Source organism: Homo sapiens, chromosome 22, assembly GCF_000001405.40.
Source record: "Homo sapiens chromosome 22, GRCh38.p14 Primary Assembly".
In the NCBI taxonomy this organism is placed as follows: domain Eukaryota; kingdom Metazoa; phylum Chordata; class Mammalia; order Primates; family Hominidae; genus Homo; species Homo sapiens.
The window spans coordinates 49,083,354-49,102,098 of NC_000022.11; the positions used below are offsets into that span (position 1 = coordinate 49,083,354).

Sequence of the window (18,745 nt, forward strand, 5' to 3'; positions counted from 1 at the left end):
ATGTTGAAAATAAAGAGAGGGAGAGATTTCTTGTGATGGAAGGATAACCCTAATGACATTCCTGAGTCCTAAAGAGCCTATGGCAGAGCCCAGCAGAGAGTTGTCCTGATCAGTTAATTGAAGAGGAAGGGAGTGTGCATCGGCCTGTGTGTGTGTGTGTGTTGTGTGTGTGTGAAGATGAAAGATCCTATCAAGCAAGTCTCGTGCAGTGTGGGAATGTGAAGGATGACCTGAGACCGGCTTTGGAAAAGGCCAAGGTTCCAATGAGCAGATCCCAAGACAGAGGAGAGAGTGTGGAGAAGAGGAGTCAGTGGCAGTGCTCCAGGACTGTGAGGAGTCCCCTGGATGATCGGGAGAGGACCCTCGGTGTGGATTTGGGGGTGTCGTGATAAAGATGCCATAGGTGCCGATGGAGAGAGAAGCAGGTAATCCTTCAGATGGACCGGGGATCCCAGGCATCACACCGCCTTCCCTGGATGCAGGAGGTGCTGGGGGCTCTGAGGGAAGGACCAGCAGCTGCACGTGCCATCTCACTTTGTGCTCTCCCCTCTCCTGACATTGCTGTTGGGTTGTTTAATAAATAGCTGAGCGAATGAATGAAGGAAGGAACAATGCCTGTCACTGGATTTCCTCCACACTCTGGGAGGACTTCCTGCCCTTTATCACCTGATGACATCTCAGACCCTGAGGGTTACAAAGACCAAGACCTCTCCCTCTCTGATTTGCTGGAAGGCCTCGACCCATCCTTAGCATACCCCTTAGCAGCTCAGAGAGCAGGCAGCTGGGCGGCCCAGGAACCTCTGAACTGAGCGGGGGCAAAGGCGGCCCCCCACAGGGGCAGCCTCTTCTCCATCCCCCAGGCAGGGTCTCTTTCTGGACTCAGTATGCAGAGCCCAGCTCTCCTGGAAGACCATTTACAAAGAGCTTTGTATGGACATGGAAACCAAATGAGAATTCCAGAGCCAGGCTCTCCCTAGCCGAATTCTTCCCTCCAGGCCTGTCCTGGGGCTATCGGGCTTGCCTCCTCTCCGCAGTATAGACAGCTGGTTCCGTGCTGCTCACACCTGCTGGGCCCTCCTTGGTGGTGGCTCTCTGCACCTGCTGAGTCATCCTTGGCGGTGGCTCTCTGCACCTGCTGAGTCATCCTTCATGGTGGCGCTCTGCACCTGCGGAGTCATCCTTGGTAGTGGCTCTCTGCTCCTACTGGGTCCTCCTTGGTGGTGCCTGTCTGCACCAACGGCATGGCTTCAGTCATGCCAGCTCTGCCTTTCTTCAAGTGCTAGAGACACATTGAAAAGTTTTATGCAAAGCAATTTCTATCCTTCTATTGATAGGTCCATTATTTTCTGATACTGGATCAGTATCCAGTATCACCACCACACCCCGCACTCCCCCACCACAGCTTCATCTTCAAGGAATATATAAATTTTAAATAAATATTTGCACCCACAGGACAGCTGCCTTTGAAGGAAATCTATGAGTGCCCTCTTGAAGATACAGATTTTCTTGCTTCTTTACAAGTTGAATAATGTCCCCTACATGTATCTGCTTTGTTGATCCAGATTTTCATATATCATGTTTTCCTGTATGGCTTTAAGATAAGTAGTGTTCCTTATTCCTCCTTGAAGATAATGTTCTCAGAAGGAAATACATCTTTGGAAGAAGTGGAATAATTTACAACCAGTTGGACGAGGACTTCAGTGCCTCATCCTTTTATGACCTAGACATGGGCTGAGAAAGAGGGTCTTACTGAGGACACAGTGTGCCTCGGTGGGGATCCCTGCTCTGGAGAGCAAGGGACATTCAACAGCAAGCACAATAATTATTCACATCTCCTTTATTTTTTAAAGGCTATGCCTCATAGGTAACCCTGCCAAGCAAAACACTTGTCACCTCATTCAACCTGTCACCTCATTCAACAGACACATGGAGAGGCCCCACAATGTCCCCCAACTGCCACTTGCTGGAGACCAGACCCTCAGCCTCCCTGCTTCTGCTGGGCATCCCTCTGCTCAGGGGAGCATCTTGAGGCTATACAGGTCTCAGGTGCAGCTGGCAGCAAAGAGACATAGGAGGAGGTGGTTGAACCCACCCTGCAATGTCCAAGGTCCAGGTTAAACCCTGAGAGTGGGTGAGTGTGTCTGGTCCTGTGACTCAGTTTCCCTACCTGTAAAACAGAGCTTCAACGAGATGAACGATAGTCCTGAGCATAACAGTCCACAGGGGCCCACGAGCCGCTTCTGCGTCCCAAGCCCTCGTTTCTGCATCCTGTCTTCACTCTGCTCACCTCTGAATGAACCCCATGGTCCCCTGGAGGACCTAGGTGAAGAAATACCCTAAACACCTCCCCAGGCATCGAGCTCATGCCTCCAGCACAAGGCCTGGGGCTGTAACGCAGGGAGCTGGGCTCCAGCTTGAATGCTGTTCTTTCTTTCTTTCTTTTTTTTTAAAAGGGGTGAAATCCACATAACACAAAGTGAACCACTTTAAAGTGAACACTTTCATGGCGTGTGGTACATTCACAGATTCATGGATGCTCGTCTTCTATACCTGAGCTATATCCTGCCTGTCACAATTCCATAGGAAGTAAAAGCCAGCCACTTTCTGTAAATGGGATCTTAAGCAGAACTCTAACACTGTGCACAGAAAGTGTGACTGTGCTGGGTTCGAGGGAGACAGGGTCTGGTCTGTGTCCCCAGCCGAATCTCATGACAAATTGTAATTCCCAGCGTGAAGGGAGGGACCTGGTGGGAAGTGATGGGATCATGGGGAAGGATTTTCCCCTCGCTGTTCTCATGATAGGGAGTGCGTTCTCGTGAGATCTGGTGGTTTAAAATTGTGTAGTGCTTCCCCTCCTTTCTCTGTCTCTCTCCCGCTCGACCGTGTGAGGGCCTTGCCCACTCCCCCTTCACCTGCGTCATGATTGTAAGTTTCCTGAGGCCTCCCCAGCCACGCCTCCTGCAAAGCCTGTGAACCTTTGAGCCAATTAAACCTCTTTTCTTTATAAACTACGCAGTCTCAACTAAAGAAAGGCAGTTCTTTATAGCAATGTGAGAAGGGACTAATACGGAGAAGGGCCACCTGTCCTTTCAAAGGCCCCGCCCAGGACCCTGGCCACCTTTGAAACCAGAGCGTCCAGGTGCCCTCTCGGATGTTTTCTCATCTCGGGAGTCCTGTGGTTTTAACGTTCTTTTACGATCACACCTCTAGAGAGTGCTGATTCCCTGGATACCACAGGACCTCCCTGAGGCGTCCAGGACAGAGCAAGCTTAGATATTAGGCAGAGGTTCTAGGAGCTGTGCACCCCTGCACCCCTGGACCAGAGAGTCTGGGTGAGGAAGTGGGGGCGGGATGTGGGGCCTGATCTCTGGGCTGCTGACCACAGAAAGGGCTCACACCGGGAAGTGGACTTGGGCCTGTCCAGGGCAGTTCCGGGGCAGAAATGGGAGCTGGAGATGTTTGTGGCTGTTCCCGTGAGGATGCTCCAGCCCCAGGAGGCCGTCGGGGAGAGGCCGGTGCTGTGTGGAACCACACATGTGTGAGCCAGTCAGGAGACTGCTGTGTCAGTCAGGAAAGGCCAACACAGTGCACTGTCCTCACACTGGGAGGACCGGCTTCCCACCCCACTCCAGGGCTTTGTGGTAAGCCTGACGCACCCCACTCGAGGGCTGCCTGGTAAGCCTGATGCCTTCGTCAGTCTGGGGAGAGGGGAAGATTTCTCCTCAATGGTGACTGAAGATGAGTGTCTTTGCTACGGTTTGTGATGTTTTTTGCCATCCCTAGGTCCTCAGCAATGGTGAGTCTACTCTCAGGCCAGACACCATTGTCCCCCCACCCCACAAACCACACAGGCACACACACACACACCAGCACATGCACATACACACAAGAGCACACGCTCACACATGCACACAATGCACACATGCACACATGTGACCAAACGCTCACAGATGCACACACACACAGGCAGGCGTCCACACACATGCACACACACGCACATGCACACACACACGCCTGGCCCTCAGTCTTGGATCAGGGCTGGCTGCCTGCGTGCTTGTCTTATGAGGACACGGCCCTCTCATTGCTTCCCCTTCACTAATCATTTCCACTCCAGGCCTGCGTATCTTGTTCCTAGTGTCTGAAAATCCTATTTACTTCCACAACCCCTGGCCGTATTCCAGGCCCCCATGAAGCATTTACTTCGCTCTGTTCCATGACCTGGATTACACTAGTTTCCAGCACAGAGCTTCAGGGCTGGGGACTCATTTCTGAGTAGGTGCAAGAATCCACATACACTGAGGTGAGGGGGGCAGAGGCAAAGTCCCCTGAATCTCAGGTCACACACCTACCTAGCCGGGGAGACCCTCCTGGACCTTAGAGCCAGACTCACCCTGGGTAAGGAGCCCCAGGCTCTGCCTCAGTGTGGTCATATCTGCTTATGCTCTATCCATGATGCCACGAGGAGCCTGTTGCTATGAGCCTGGGAAGCCTGAAGGTTCAGAGGGGATGGCCCAGGCCAGCATGGGGACATCATCTCATCCTGGAGGACCGCCAGGACAGTGCAAAGGGGCCTTGCAGCGCCCATCCCAGGAGGGCCAGGTCGGTGGGCACAGCGAGCTCACCCTCACGCGGGGCCCGGGGCGGCTGGTTCTCCCTGCAGCAGGCTTGTGTGTGTGACCGCAGAATCCTCCACATGGACCCATTTGACATTGGGCAGCTTGCGCTGGAAGGATTTCTTTCCAGGAAGAAACAGAGCACTGCCCTGCCCTCCTCTGCTTCCCAAAGACAGATGGGAGCCCTGGAAAGGGAGCCGGCATCGCCCCCAACCCTAGGGCTGGCGCAGGGGCCAGCAGCCAGCAGAAGAGCTTGATTGCTGTTCCCTGGATCTAAAAATGGATAAACAACCGTGAATGCCAGCGAGGTCCAAGCCATATTCATCACCATTACAGAGAGTAATTCGGCGTGTGCTTGTTAATCAATCACTGCTCTCCCTGGGTCTCCAGCCGGGCTGGGCCCCGAGAGTGGACGGCCATCACCAGCCCACGGGCCGCAGTCCAAGCATGATGGATGGCAGCTGCTGCAGGCTCCAATCTGGAGCTGAGTGCTGGGGCTCAGGCTGGCTGCACACGGGCAGCCCTGCAAATGAGAGGGGGGAAACTGAGGCGGGCTCCTGGCAGGGCGTGAGGCATGCCCTCCCTCATGTGCTCTGTGTGTGACAGGGCAGGGGGTTGGGCAGTGCCACTGGGAGACCCACCTGCTTGGGGGCAGGGGAGGTGAGTGCTGGGAGGCACAGTGTGTGGGCCTCAGCGGCCTCATTCCACGACGTGTTCTTAATTAAAATAATCATGTGCTCCATGGACACAGCAGTGTTTCAACAGGGGGTCACACCCATATGAGAGGTTGGAATTTGCTCAGCAGAGCAGGAGGAGAGGCGAAGAGAGCCAGGCCCAGCAGGTTAAGGAACGTGTCATTTTGGAAAGTGAGCACGTGAGCCTGTGGCAGGGGCGGCGTGGCCAGGTCACGTCTGGTTCCCATCTCAAATCCCCTCTGCCCCGTGGCACCTGTGCCATAGACTTCTCGCTTTTCCTCTCCACCCTGAGGGCAGAGGTGCTGGGCACCTGCACGAACAGTGGCAGTGAACTCTCCCCTCCTGGTCCTCACGGCCAGGCTGGCCCTTGGTGACCATCACTGGTGCCCCTTGATGACCATCACACACTGCTGTCCCCACGGCCAGGCTGACCCTTGGTGACCATCAGTGCTGCCCCTCGGTGACCATCACGCACTGCTGTCCCCACGGCCAGGCTGCCCCTCGGTAACCATCACACACTGCTGTCCCCACGGCCAGGCTGCCCCTCGGTGACCACCACACACTGCTGTCCCCACGGCCAGGCTGACCCTCGGTGACCATCAGTGCTGCCCCTCAGTGACCATCACACGCTGCCATCCCCATCATCACTCCGTCCACTCCAGGGTCTGCCCCAGCAGAGGCTCCTATGATGTCACACTCCTGGGTCTGGCACCAAGGCCTCCACACCCTCGACCCCACCTGTCTGTGCAAAGAGAGCCCCTGTGCCTCTGCCCAGGCCCCGGACTCCCCCAGGGTGGGCCCAGCACAGCCCTCTGTGACCACCATGCTGCTGTGAAGGGGCCTCCTTGGGCTGCATCACGTCTGGCCTGGATAAGGTGCAGCCTGGGACGTGGGCTTGCTCGGAGCCTCCCTGCGCGGCACCCCCAGGGTGCTAACCACAGGTCTTCCCCTCCTGTCAGCCGGTTGTCAGGAGGGCTGGCCCGCCCCTCCCCTGGGGTGCGTTTTCAGTCGGGGGCAGAATTGCTGCCGGTGTGAGGCTTCGGGCCCCATCTGCCGTCTGGAGGGCGGGAAGAGAGCACTGCATATAGAGTTTTGCTTTTCTTGCTTGTCAGCTGAGACCCTGGTAAGCCACTTACAGTGACTGCTCCTCAGTTTCGCCCTCTGAAAATTGGGGATGGGGTGACAGCAACCCTACCAGGTGGCCGAGAGAATCCGATACAAATGTGGAGGCGGCTGGCACGCAGGAGGTGCTGACGAGAATAAGGACAATTCAGAAGTCCCCGGCTGTACCCACAGAGCAAATCATTTGGTGCCCAAGACTGGCCTAAAACTCAGCAGAGAGCAGGGGCTTGGAGGGGCAGGTTTCACATGGGAAAGTTGATGTGCAACTTTCAACTTTCAAGTTCTATGTAGAACTTGAAGAGAGGGAACATGAGAGACTGCTGGGGTTGGAACTCAGGCAGATCCGGGGGGCAGGAGCTGAGCCGGGAAGGGGTCGGAGTCCAAATGCCGGGCCGAAGCCCCCAGGGTGGCCAGCCTTAATTCTGTACATGCCGCAGGGAGACAGCGCTCACAGGACCCCAGCCAGCAGCTGTGCTCCCTGGAAGCCCAGCCCCTGTCCCACCATGAGGATGGAGCAGCAGCCAGTGTCCTACCCTGGTCTTCTCTGCAGCCATCGTGAAAGTGTCCACACTGGCACAACCGCTCCAGCTCCTGCATCCAGTGTGGGCTGCTGCGCAGGACACGGCCGTAGCCCCAGGACAGAGCAGGCTGCTCCCAGGTCCATCTCCAGCAGTGCGATTTTCAGTGTGGAGTGCAGCGTGGAAAGTGCTATTTGGTGGGATGGGGCCATTAGCATTTCCCTTGGAAGCCCCTATCAGGACCCTGGGCTGGACCTGGACGCAGCAGAGCTGCCGTCTTTACTAAGGTGGCCAAGTCCACTGGGCACTGGGCATCTCTGCATGAAGGTGCTGCAGAGTGAGGCTGGGGATGAAGGTGCTGCAGAATGAGGCTGGCTGCATGAGGTGCTGCAGAGTGAGGCTGGGGTGCCCGAGAGCAGACCAGCCTGGGGTGCTGGGGCTCAGGGCACCCGGCGGTCACCAGCCCCTCTCTTTGCAGCTCCCACTGCTGTAGCTGTCTCCCCTGATGTGGTTGTCACCTTGGCGTCCTCCAGCCTGGCAGAGCCCAGCTCATCAGGGTGGCTTCTGCTGGAACCACGGCCGGTCCAAAAGGCTCTTTAATCACCACTTTATTCATTCACGGAACATCTGCTGAGCCGGGCCTGTCCAGCATCTGCAGGTGACACTGGGAACGGAGGAAAGCGGTCTGCCCTGGTGCTGCCCAGCAGACAGGTGCAGGCGGCCTGCGCTCCCCCCTCCACTCATATACACACCACACACACAAGCTCGGATGCATGCACACATTCGCTCTCTCTCTCTCTGTCTCTCTCTCTCTGTCTCTCTCTCTCTCTCTCTCTCTCATTGCCCAGGTGAAGTCCTTCCTGCAGAATCCCCACTGCTTGCAATTGTGTTTATTTGCTCATTGATTTGCTATTGTCCAGATCTCCAACTGGAACATGTGCCCCAGGAAACAAGAGAAGGATCCCCAAATAAAATATAGAACCCTGGAATTTCAGATAAACAACCCATCGTTGTCGGCGTAAGTATGTCCCAGGCATTGCAATTATTGGCTGGGCTATACTTGTCTAGAAACCTGTCCCTTGTTCATCTGAAGCCCACATTCACCTGGGGACCCTCTGTTCATATTTGTTAACCCTGATGACCGTAGCCCAGGAGGCAAAGGCAGTGGCTGCCTGAGTGCAGCAGGTCCCAGGGCCCCCATGCCTAATGCTGGCCGCCACCTCGTGGGGCGTGGCCTGAGCACCTGGCGTGTCATGCTGGGCCCCAAAAGCGACGCCAGGGGCGTGTTTCTGGTGTTTCCGAACTGGGGGCTTTATTGAGGTAACTGCAGATTCACACGCACCTAGAGGGACCACGCAGGGAGTGCTGCTTCCCTCTGTCCACTCGGACGATGCCTCGCAGGGCCGCAGCCCCCGCCACCCGGATGCTGGCCTGGTGAGGTGGTCCCCAGGACTCACACTCACTGGTGCAGATCAATGCTGAGCCATATCAGCGCATGTGTGCGTTCGTTGACTACCTTGATGCAGGGCAGATGAGCCCCCAAATTGGGGTTTAGTCAGGGAGGGTTCTTGGCTTCACCCAGAAAAGAATTCCAGAGCAAGCTGGTGGTGTTAGACAACTTTATTCAAGCGGCTGCAGAGATGTGTTCCTTGAAGAGCAGGGCCCCCCATAAGCAATGTGCCCAGAGCAGCAGCGAGATTCTGTCTCAAAAAAAAAAAAAAAAAAACGGAAATTGCCACACCAGAGCAGAGGGTGGAGTTGGGCAGCCCAGAGACTCCTGGGGCCACCAGAGGCTGGAAGAGGCAGGAAGGGTCCTCCCCCAGACCTGGGGATGGGGCGTGGCCCTGGGACACCTCCGTGTCAGGCTCCTGGCCTTTGGAACTGTGGCAGCAGGCATCTCTGTTGCTTTAGGTCCCCAGTTTGTGGAATTTCCTGGAGTCCTGGAGGCTCGCACAGGCAGTGAGTGAGGAGGCGCTTGGGAAGCTGGGGACCTGGTGACGTGGGGGTGGAGGGGTGGGCAGAAGGCCCAGCGAGGCTAGGCTCCTGAGGCTCTGTGGTGTGCCAGGAAGGCCAGGAGGTTGGCCAGGCCACGGGGGCCCTGAGTCCAGTGACGAATATGTTGAGTGGTGGTGAACTCATAGGTTACTGGGGCTGGACAAGGCTGAGTCTGAGTCAGGTTTAAAGCTAGATCTCGGTGGGACCTGGTGAGGCACGTGACCTCACTGAGCCTTAGTTTTCTGGCCTGTAAAAGGGGTGGAGGCCACCTGTGTTAAAGGCAGTGGGCACCACACCTGGCACCCAGGAGCCCCCAGGCTGTTGGGAGTTTTGTGTGGATCCAGCCCACTCTGGGTTGTGGGTAGCTGCGACCCCAACGTAGGCTGGGTTTCAGCATCCTCTGACCTTCCCCTCTTCCCGCCCACAGCCATCAGCGAGAGCTTCCTCCCCACCTCTGTGAGTTTAATTTCTAGGAGGCTTCATGGGAAGTGGAGGAGCGTGTACTGTCACCCACGTGCTCCACCTCTGGGCATTTGTTAATGTGAGCGAGAGATAATTCCAAGTCTGTCTGAGCCTGCTCTCTAGGGTGACGCCCGGGGTGGAGATATCAGCTGCATGAGGAGTCTGTCCGAGCCTGGTCTCTGGGGTGACGCCTGGGTGGGGGTATCGGCTGCTTGGGGAGGGGCGAGGCAGGTGCCGATCTGCCTGTTCCTCAGTTCCCAGGGGCTACTCCAACGGCTGAAGGGTGCCAAGGAGCCCATGCTTTATTTCCACTGAGGATTAGCCCCGGCACGGAGGCTGCCATTCCTCCATGACGGCAATCACGAAATGACAGGACTTGTGGGAAACTGCCTTTTTATTGCATTTCAGGCGGAGAAGACATCAGGTCATATACCAAGCAGAAGGCTGAGAGACGGGAACATAACGGGAATTACTCCAGAAGAAAATAATTCCTCCCTCAAAGTCCTGTACAAATGTCGTGTCCCTCCCACCTGCCTTGTCACCCAGGTGCCCTGTGGGAGAAGCTTCTGGGTGCTTCTGGAGACGGAGATCCAGGGTCCTCGAGGGCCCAGCTTTGCAGGAGAAGTAGACAGGCCCCCACCGGTCCCCACGCCTGGAGACCGTGCCAAATTCCATGCACATTAAACTCAGCCCAGGGCGTCAGAGGCCCCCCTTCAGCGGCCTCCTCAGAACCTCCCAGACCCGCTGTGGCTGCAGGCCTGGCCCTGGTGTCCTGGATGGAGGAGCAGAGGCCTGGAGAGCTGACTCTGTGGACAGCCCCCGGCCTCACTGCACACCAAGGACAACTTCACACTAACAGCATCCGTGCAGGGCCGCCCACAGGCCCGGGCAGGGGTGTCACAGTTTCCAGAAGCCCCTGCTTGTGTCTTGCCTTTTTCACGCAGACGACTGCACACATCCCGGCGCCGGCCTCGCTCTGAGGACCAGATGGGCTGTGGCACCCACATGCACTTCGTGTTGGGCACCCCCACCCCCCACCCCCAGCACCCTGCCTGGAGACACCTGTGAGCCAGTCAGAGGCCCTCCTGGGCACACACACCTGTCACTTGGAGCCCGCAGGCAGCGGCTCCCACAGCATGAGCTCACAGACGCAGGGGTGTTTGGGTCATAGCAACCCACGAAGCTCAATTCAGCCCCGGGAGAGCATTTTTATTTTTGTTGAAAATATCCACACCCTTAGTATTTGGGTTCCCAGAGTCTACAACATGAGGTCTCCTGGAAGAAAAGTCAACAAGAATTTAAAAAGAGGAAGGAAGGAAGGAAGGAAGGAAGGAAGGAAGGAAGGAAGGAAGGGAGGGAGGGAGGGAGGGAGGGAGGGAGGGAGGGAAGGAGGGAGGGAGGGAGGGAGGGAGAGAGGGAGGGAATTAGGAAGGAAGGAATTAGGAAGGGAGAGAGGGAAATAGAGAGAGGAAGGATGGAAGGGAGGGGGTATGGACGGTGTGCCCAGGTACCTCCTTAGCTCTGTCACCCACAGAGGACACATCACATCCGGGCACGCTCTGGGCTGCCAGGGACCTGCAGGTGGCCTCAGGGTGGTTCCTCCTTTTCTGCCTGGGGGCTCCGGGGAGGGGGCACTGAGCCTGGGCCTGAGGCTCGGCCTGGCAGCTGCTCTGGGTAAATGGCTGCTGTGAACAGTTCTTTCTTCTGGGCCTGATTGACATTAATTAAATATTTTAATATTTGTATCAGAGAAAACGTATTCGGGCACACCTCAGTCATTTCTGATTAAATTGCCAAAGGAGGGCCGCTGTGTGGCTCCTATAAATGAATACATTTTCGACATTTTTTTTTTTTCTGTTGAAGGTAATTTTCATGGCTGGTTTAACTTGTAGGGATGATAGAAAATATTAATAAAACATTTGATGTCTAAGTTTGGGTGGAAGTTTAATAAATTAGATGGGCAAATTTTACTTTTGATCACGTGGCTGAAAATGTTTTAAAAGGGATTTTTTTTTTTTTTTTAAAGAAAGGAGCTTCTGGTGAAGTCTCTGCTCTCTGGGGGTTCTGGAGTCCTTCGGTGTTGGGCTGGGGCCCCCTTCACAGGTGTGGTCTCGGGTTCACGATGATGGGATGAGAGGAGTCTCTGGCTGCGTTCTCAGGAGGGGCCTGGGTGAGAGCCCTCGTTGACACCTTCACATAGACGGAGAAACCCAGGCTCAGCCAGGTGGGTGACGCTTCCCAGGTCCCCACGCTGTGTGTCCCAGATGGGGCAGGATCCTTGCTTCCTGTTCCTGTCTGCTGACTTTTCCCCGAAGCTCCGTGTCACCACGGGACCAGAGGGGCGCATGTGGGCGAATTCAGCCGGCCTGTGGTGGTGGGCACCCAGCCCCGAGGTGAGGCATTCCTCCCCAGCGGGCAGAGGGGCTCCCAAATCCACTCCCAAATCTGCTCCCAAACCCACTCCCGGCGTTGTTGTGAGGCTCTCTGAACCCGAGGAGTGACCAGAAATCCTGGCGAGATCTCTGGGAAGCAGGCTGTGAGAAATATGTTGTTAAAATCCGTTTTTTCAAACAAGGTACCGGCTTTCCCAGAACAGGGAGGCACAGCAGGGTCGGTGGGAGGCCACAGAAAGGAGACAGACCCCGTCCGCGAGCATTCGGAACAGCCATACAGCCCCGGGGCTCCTCCAGCAGGAGGGACGCTTCTCCCCGGGGAAGGGCAGGGCAGGCACCTCGGGAGGAACGGCTGGGTCCCTTACGCCACCAGCACAGCCCAGCAGCTCACAGGCCTTCCCAGCCTGGGTGCAGGCTGGAGCCCCCGCTGAGGTCGGCCTGGCTGGGGCGAGGGTCTGCCTCAGGTGTCACAGGGATGGAAGCCGTGGAACCAGGCCTGGAGAGCGGGTGCTTCCTCCACCTGTGAAGGACTGGCCGGGGCTGAAGGAGCTCAGCAAGCAGCAGGGCCCCACCTGGAAGCAAGGCCGGGTGAGGTGGGGTCAAGACGGGACCCAGCAGGGCCACTGACAAGTCATTCCAGAAGTGCACACCCTCATCCCAAGTGCTCCCCAACACACATGCACACACGGCACACTCAGGCATCCAGAAAGACACACACACAAGCATGTGCACACTCACACACACATGAATGCACTTACATACACGCACATACACAAAGGCGCACACACAGGTATGCACACACACAGCCACACACACGCAGGTGCACACTCACACAGACGCGTGAACGCACTCACATACACAAAAGCACACACAGGCATGCACGCATACATGCATACATTCACACACACGCAGGTGCACACTCACACACACATGAACACACTCACATACACAAAGGCACACACACAGGTATGCAAACACACACAGCCACACACACGCAGGTGCACACTCACACAGACACGTGAACGCACTCACATACACAAAAGCACACACAGGCATGCACGCATAAGTGCATACATTCACACACATGCAGGTGCACACTCACACAGACATGTGAACACACCCACATACACAAAGGCACACATAGGCATGCACACATACATACGTACATTCACACACACACACACGCAGGTGCACACACACACACACATGAACACACACAAAAGCACACACAGGCATGCATGCATACATGCATACGTTCACACACACATGCAGGTGCACACACACACACATATGAACACACTCACATATAGTCACATACACACTGGCCTGCACACACAAATCTACACACACACACACACACACACACAGGCATAAGCACAAGATTGTACAGTTTCATTGGTGTTTAGTCCAACACGCCAAAACCCAGTACCTTGGGCCCTGATGGAATGAGGGCATCTGTGGTACCCTCGGGCAGATTCTCAGCAGCCCTGTGGGGCCATTCCAGCTTTGCTGGGCCCGCCTTCGTAGCTGGTCAACTGATTCCTCCTGCAGTGTACAGGGCCCCGCACTAGAAGGACCCACACCTGGGTTAATGCGTTGCTGTCACTGACCTGAAATGCTTCATCCTTCGAGCGAGGGGTCCCCACGTTTTCAGTTTCACTGGCCTCAAACAATATTTGAGGCCTTGTTATTCCTGCTGCTGTGGAAAGGTAAATATTTATAGGAAATTTCCATTTCCTTTTGCTCATCTGACAGAAACTTGAAAATTCACAGCCCTTCCTTGGCCATTCTGCCATCTGCTCCCAGGTTGGAAAGAGTCCCCAGGTCCCTCTGGGCAAGTGCAATGTGCACGTATTGAAAACATGTTATCGTGAGGTGTGGAAGGAACGCACTTCTCAGCCTGGGCTTTCTCCAGATAGATGATGATAGTGTAACAGCAACTTAGTGATGTGTGGCTCTCACATAATGAATTGATTTTATAAAACGTTTTCATTCATTTGAAAACTGTCTGGCCGTCTATTGAATGGGAATTACAGTGACAATTAGACTCAATATTTAAATAATCAGTTTTCACTGGGCAGTATTGGGATGTCACAATTTACAAAGCACTTTTAATTATTTTATGTGCTGGTTAGTGTGTTTTTGCAATTAAAATAATATCTACATGTAAGTGTTGCAGGAATGCGGATACGAGCACTTAAGGGGGCCGGCTGCTCCGTCTGCCTCTCCATGCCGTGGACTCAGCACCAAGTTCCAGGAACAAAACGCACCACAGCAGGAACAGGCAGGCTCCGCTGCTGAATTTTGTCCTTTTTCCTAAATCGTCTGTTGTCTTCTAACGTGTTAATGGGTTCATGAGGTTCCCGCCACGCTTAATTTCTTCTTTCTCCAACCAGGCCATGGCCCTGCTATTCCCTTCAGGTAGGAAATGGCCTCCATGAGAGCGTTCAGGTCTGAGCGCCCCGTTGTGTTCAGGAGCCTGCCGGCTGGATGCAGCCCATCACAGAAGCCTGTGAGGTCATGTCCATGGGTCCTGGGAGCTGAGCAGAAAGAGCTCTCTGCCTGAGGACGCTGTGTGTGTGGGAGCGTGAGCTGAAGTCCAGGGCAGCTTCACTGGGAGTGCCGCCGTCTCTGGACTTGGAGGACGCCTTTTCCACAGGACATTGCTCCTGGTCAAGGCACTCACTTCACAGCCAAAGAGCAGCCATGGGTCCCTCCCTGCTCATGGAATTCCCTGCTCTTACCATGCTCCAGCCTGGAGCAGTGGGCTGGATAGAGCCAGGGAATGGCCTTTTGATGGTGATGGTACCTCCGGGGGCTGGGAGAGGTCTCCTGGGCTGCGCATGTTCTGAATCAGTGTCCAGCATGTGCTGCTGTCTCTCCCGTAGCCAGGACTCACGGGTCCAGGAACCAAGGGGTGGAAATGGAAGCGCGCCACTCGCCATCACCCCTAGTGACCTACTAGCAAATTTTTTTGCTTTCTGTTCCCATGACTTTATACTCTGCTGGCCTAGAAGTCTTACTCCAGAGGGAGAAGTGCTTCCACCAGGAGACACAACAATGATATTATTGTCCTGGAAGTTCAGCCTGCTGCCTGGCCGCATTGGACTCCTCATGTCTCTGAGTCAACAGGCTAAGAAGGGAATTTCCATCCTGGCTGCGGGTATCAGTCCAGATTATCAAGGGGAAATTGACCGCTGCTCCATGGGGACGTAAGAAAGAGTGTGTCTACAAACAGGAGATCCCGCAGGGTGTCTCCTAATACTGCCATGGGAAATTACAACAACCCAATCCAGACAGGACTACGAATGGCCCAGACCCTTCAGGAATGAAGGTTTGGGTCTCCCCACCAGATAAAGAAGCAGGACCAACTGACGTGACTGCCGAGGGGAAAGGGAGCATTGTATGGGAGAGAAGAAGGCGGCTGTGAGCTCCAGGGGTGCCCTCCGGGCCCATCACAGAAGCAAGGACTGTAATTGTCATCATGGTAAATTATAAATATTCTTATTTATTATTAATGTGTTTTTGTGTATGAATACATAACCACACACACAAAGCAAATCTGTTCTTCCCTCTCTTCTCCCCTTATGGTGTTACATAAGATGTATTGACTTCAGAGCGTAGTTTCTAAGCATTGTTACTTTATATCACAGCATTTGTGCTGCAGGATGTCATGGAGAAGAGGAAACACCACCCAGAGCTCTTCTGGGAAAGGGTTAGTGTGTTTTCAGGAGCACACAGAATGCTTTTATGATGTTAGGGGATCGTCTTTGTTTGGGAATTAGATACTTTTTTTATTTTTTATTTATTTATTTTTTGAGATGGAGTCTCGCTCTGTCACCCAGGCTGGAGTACAGTGGTGCTATCTCAGCTCACTGCAAGCTCCGCCTACCGGGTTCACACCATTCTCCTGCCTCAGCCTCCCAAGTAGCTGGAACTACACGCCCGGCAAATTTTTTTGTATTTTTTTAGTAGAGACGGGGTTTCACTGTGTTAGCCAGGATGATCTCCATTTCCTGACCTTGTGATCCACCCACCTCAGCCTCCCAAAGTACTGGGATTACAGGTGTGAACCACCGCACCCGGCCAGAATTAGGTATGTTTTAGGGAGACGTATATAGAGGTGCATGGTGTCGGGCTGACAGGCGGTGGACCCAGGTGGCGAGTCTCACGTCCACCTCGCTGGGCTGTGGTGTCCGGCATCCTGGGACGCTGCTGTGAAGGTATTTTGTAGATTGCTCAACACCCACAATCAGTTGCCTTTCCGTAAAGGAGATCACCCCTGAGCAGTTGGGTGAGCCTTATCACATCATGAAGGCTTTAAGAGGAAAACTGAAGAGGAACATCCACCTGAACCTTGAGTTTCTGGCCTGCCCCAGAGCCTTCCCTCCTGGATGTCTGAGGCTCCTCCAGGAAGGGGCATGGGTGAGGCTGAGCACCTGCAGCTCCTCGGGCAGCGGACATGCTGGGCCACTCTCGCGTACCCTGCGGTGACTCACACTCAGGCAGCGGACATGCTGGGCCACTCTCGCGTGCCCTGCGGTGACTCACACTCGCTGCTGTTCCCAGCATCCCTGTCCAACTGGGTGGTGCATATTTGCTCTCTGGCATTTCCCCCATATTAGCCTGTGGTGGCTAATGGGGGGGAAAACACATTAATCCTTTGTCATCTGCAAGGCTAGGGTGAGTCCAGTCCTCCTGGAGGCTGTGGGAGTGTGGAGGTTCAGGAACAGAGGGATGCAGGGACAGCATGGTGGCCCATGCAAGCCCTCGAGGTGTGCCTTGGCCACAGCTCTAAACGGCAGAGCTGCTGAGCGAGGCACACAGGTCACCAGGCAGGTTGTGAGGAGCCACCAGTGAGGCTGCAGAGACCCGAATTCTCCCTGGAAGGGTGTCAGATTCTCCAGACCCTGCTGTGATTCTTCTGTGTTTATAGAAGTAGCAAGAAGAAACGTTAGCCTATCTTAAATAAATCCTTAGATTCTGACACAATGGAATCTACATTAGCAACACTTGGATGGTAAAGAGCCTGGAAGTAATGTTGTGGTATTTGGCTCCCTTGAGTGAGCTGGGAGTGAAGAAATGAGTGACTGAATGACTGAATGAATGAATGAACTCATCAGGGGTCTGCCGTGCTGAGCATGGTGCTGGGCATGGTCACTCTCAGGAGATCCTATCTGTGGTCAGGGAAGCTGAGGCTAGAGGAATCATCTGGGTCTGCCTCTGCGTCCCTGTTCCCCCTGTTTCTTGCGGGTCACCCAGTAAGTCCCCACTGAGCTGCGTCCATGGGACTGCAGGCATCTGAGCCCTCACACTGCCCTGAGAGCAGACAATCCACGGCCAGGGAGGCCGGAACCCAGCTGCAAGCCTGAGTGACTGGGAACAGGCGGCCTGAACTCCAGGCTGCCTGCCTGTAACACGGGAGGGCACTGGGTAAGTTCCCGAGAACTGGGACCAGTCTCCTCCCGGACAAGGGGGCAGATTGGACCCAACCACTTAATGCTGGAATGGGAGTTGCCCCATGTCCTGTGGGAGGTGCCTAGACAGGCAGCAGCCCCCAATGCACCTGTATCCCCTCCTTTTCTGGACACCCCTGCAGAAGGGGAGCAGGTGCTGAGGGGCTCAGGAGGCCCTCATATGTCTGTGTTAAACCGTTTTTCATCCCCCAGAGAGCCCCGGTGTCTGAAGGCCTCCGCGTACCGGGGCTGTGGTTAAGCTGGGACCAGCAGGAAACTCACAAGCTGAGGCGCCAATGCACGAAGGAGGAGGTGCGGGAGCCAGGGACCCCCAGTTGCAGCACACACCTTCTCAGCAGAAGCACCCGGCAAGGAAGGAGTGGGTTGGCATCCTACTCAGGGCAGTGGAGCCAAGAGCAGCCCCAGACCGCGTCCCGCCCTGGAAACAATTCCTTTCGCTCAAACCCTGCCAGTCTCTAAGCTAAGGGCGTGACTAGGACGGGACGGCTTTTGTTTTACTCAGCTGATTATTTTTGCATTTAATTCATACATTAGTTCGACTTAGTGGCTGCAGAAAAGCTATAAACCGAAGGGATTTAAGCCTAACAAATGGTGTTCTAATGAGAATTATTGAGGCCAACACTAGGATTCTGCAAGAATTATGTTTCCTTTGAGGGAGGTCTGCCTCTGAGGGACCCCAGGCTGCAGGGGGTCTGTAGAGGTTGACCGTTTTCCAGGTGGTCGGGGAAGGTGATGTGCTTTGGGCCTCTCCACTGGGGTAACTGGAAGGCTGGGGTGGGCTCCGTCCCCCTGCAGGTCTAACCCCAGGGGAGTCCCCGTCTTGTTCACAGGCTGTCTTCTCCTCCCCAGGGAACACGCGGTTGGTGGGGACCCCACAGGCAGGAGGTGCAGGAGGAAGCCCCCCCAGGCAGAGACCCAGGAATCACAGCTTCCGCACCCTCTTCACTCCCCTAGAGGCTCGGGGAGCTGAGCCCCAACACTCCCCAAGACTTGGGGGCATTAATTTAAAACAACTGATTGCCAGCAAAAGGCCTCATCAAAGATTAAATGAGCATAATTTAACTGAGGGAATGATAATAGATTTAGTTAAGAAGAGAAAAAAAGGAAAATTGAATTGGAATGCATATTTGAGGGAAAATTGGAGTTTAATGTAATTACACTTAGAGATGAGACAGATTACAATTACCGTGTTTCAGAGGTGGAATTTTTAATTGCATCATTTAAAATCAAGCCTAGGTCTCTGCCTTCAGCAGGTCAGGAAAAGGGTTTTCAGGCAGTGGGGATGGCTTCTGTCCTGCTAGCTTCCTCCCTGACCCAAGGGAAGCAGCAGCCATTTCTGCCCACCTGAGGGGGCCAGGCAGATGCTGCAGGTTCCGAACCACAGTGTCCTGCTGCCCTGCGCCCACCAGGCCAGTCCACACCCTCTGGGCTGAGGGCCTCACCCTGCAGAGGAGACAGGCACAGGGGCCC

General features: G+C 54.8%; 1 long non-coding RNA gene across 1 annotated transcript, besides 6 other annotated features; it reads left to right on the forward strand.

Annotated features, from left to right (window-relative positions):
* Positions 311-1,510: an enhancer, noted in NCBI's record as "MED14-independent group 3 enhancer chr22:49479476-49480675 (GRCh37/hg19 assembly coordinates)". NCBI's record gives its function as "activates an origin of replication core promoter dependent on BRD2, BRD4, P300/CBP and CDK7 cofactors, and independent of MED14, by STARR-seq in HCT116 cells {active_cell/tissue: HCT116}" and the evidence as "EXISTENCE:reporter gene assay evidence [ECO:0000049][PMID:35650434]".
* Positions 934-1,434: an enhancer, noted in NCBI's record as "H3K4me1 hESC enhancer chr22:49480099-49480599 (GRCh37/hg19 assembly coordinates)". NCBI's record gives its function as "activates a minimal SCP1, AML or CMV promoter by ChIP-STARR-seq in naive H9 embryonic stem cells {active_cell/tissue: H9 hESC(naive)}" and the evidence as "EXISTENCE:reporter gene assay evidence [ECO:0000049][PMID:30033119]".
* LOC105373086 (uncharacterized) lies at positions 12,303-15,280 on the forward strand. The gene is made up of 3 exons (XR_938333.1): positions 12,303-12,391; positions 13,350-13,507; positions 13,978-15,280. It is a non-coding gene; the product is annotated as an uncharacterized LOC105373086 (long non-coding RNA).
* Positions 13,276-13,447: a silencer, noted in NCBI's record as "fragment chr22:49492353-49492524 (GRCh37/hg19 assembly coordinates)". NCBI's record gives its function as "represses an EF-1alpha promoter that drives an FKBP-Casp9 reporter gene in an ReSE screen in phorbol 12-myristate 13-acetate-treated (for megakaryocytic differentiation) K562 erythroleukemia cells {active_cell/tissue: K562(+PMA)}" and the evidence as "EXISTENCE:reporter gene assay evidence [ECO:0000049][PMID:32094911]".
* Positions 13,856-14,357: an enhancer, noted in NCBI's record as "H3K4me1 hESC enhancer chr22:49492933-49493434 (GRCh37/hg19 assembly coordinates)". NCBI's record gives its function as "activates a minimal SCP1, AML or CMV promoter by ChIP-STARR-seq in primed H9 embryonic stem cells {active_cell/tissue: H9 hESC(primed)}" and the evidence as "EXISTENCE:reporter gene assay evidence [ECO:0000049][PMID:30033119]".
* Positions 14,358-14,857: an enhancer, noted in NCBI's record as "H3K4me1 hESC enhancer chr22:49493435-49493934 (GRCh37/hg19 assembly coordinates)". NCBI's record gives its function as "activates a minimal SCP1, AML or CMV promoter by ChIP-STARR-seq in primed H9 embryonic stem cells {active_cell/tissue: H9 hESC(primed)}" and the evidence as "EXISTENCE:reporter gene assay evidence [ECO:0000049][PMID:30033119]".
* Positions 15,827-16,824: an enhancer, noted in NCBI's record as "H3K4me1 hESC enhancer chr22:49494904-49495901 (GRCh37/hg19 assembly coordinates)". NCBI's record gives its function as "activates a minimal SCP1, AML or CMV promoter by ChIP-STARR-seq in naive H9 embryonic stem cells {active_cell/tissue: H9 hESC(naive)}" and the evidence as "EXISTENCE:reporter gene assay evidence [ECO:0000049][PMID:30033119]".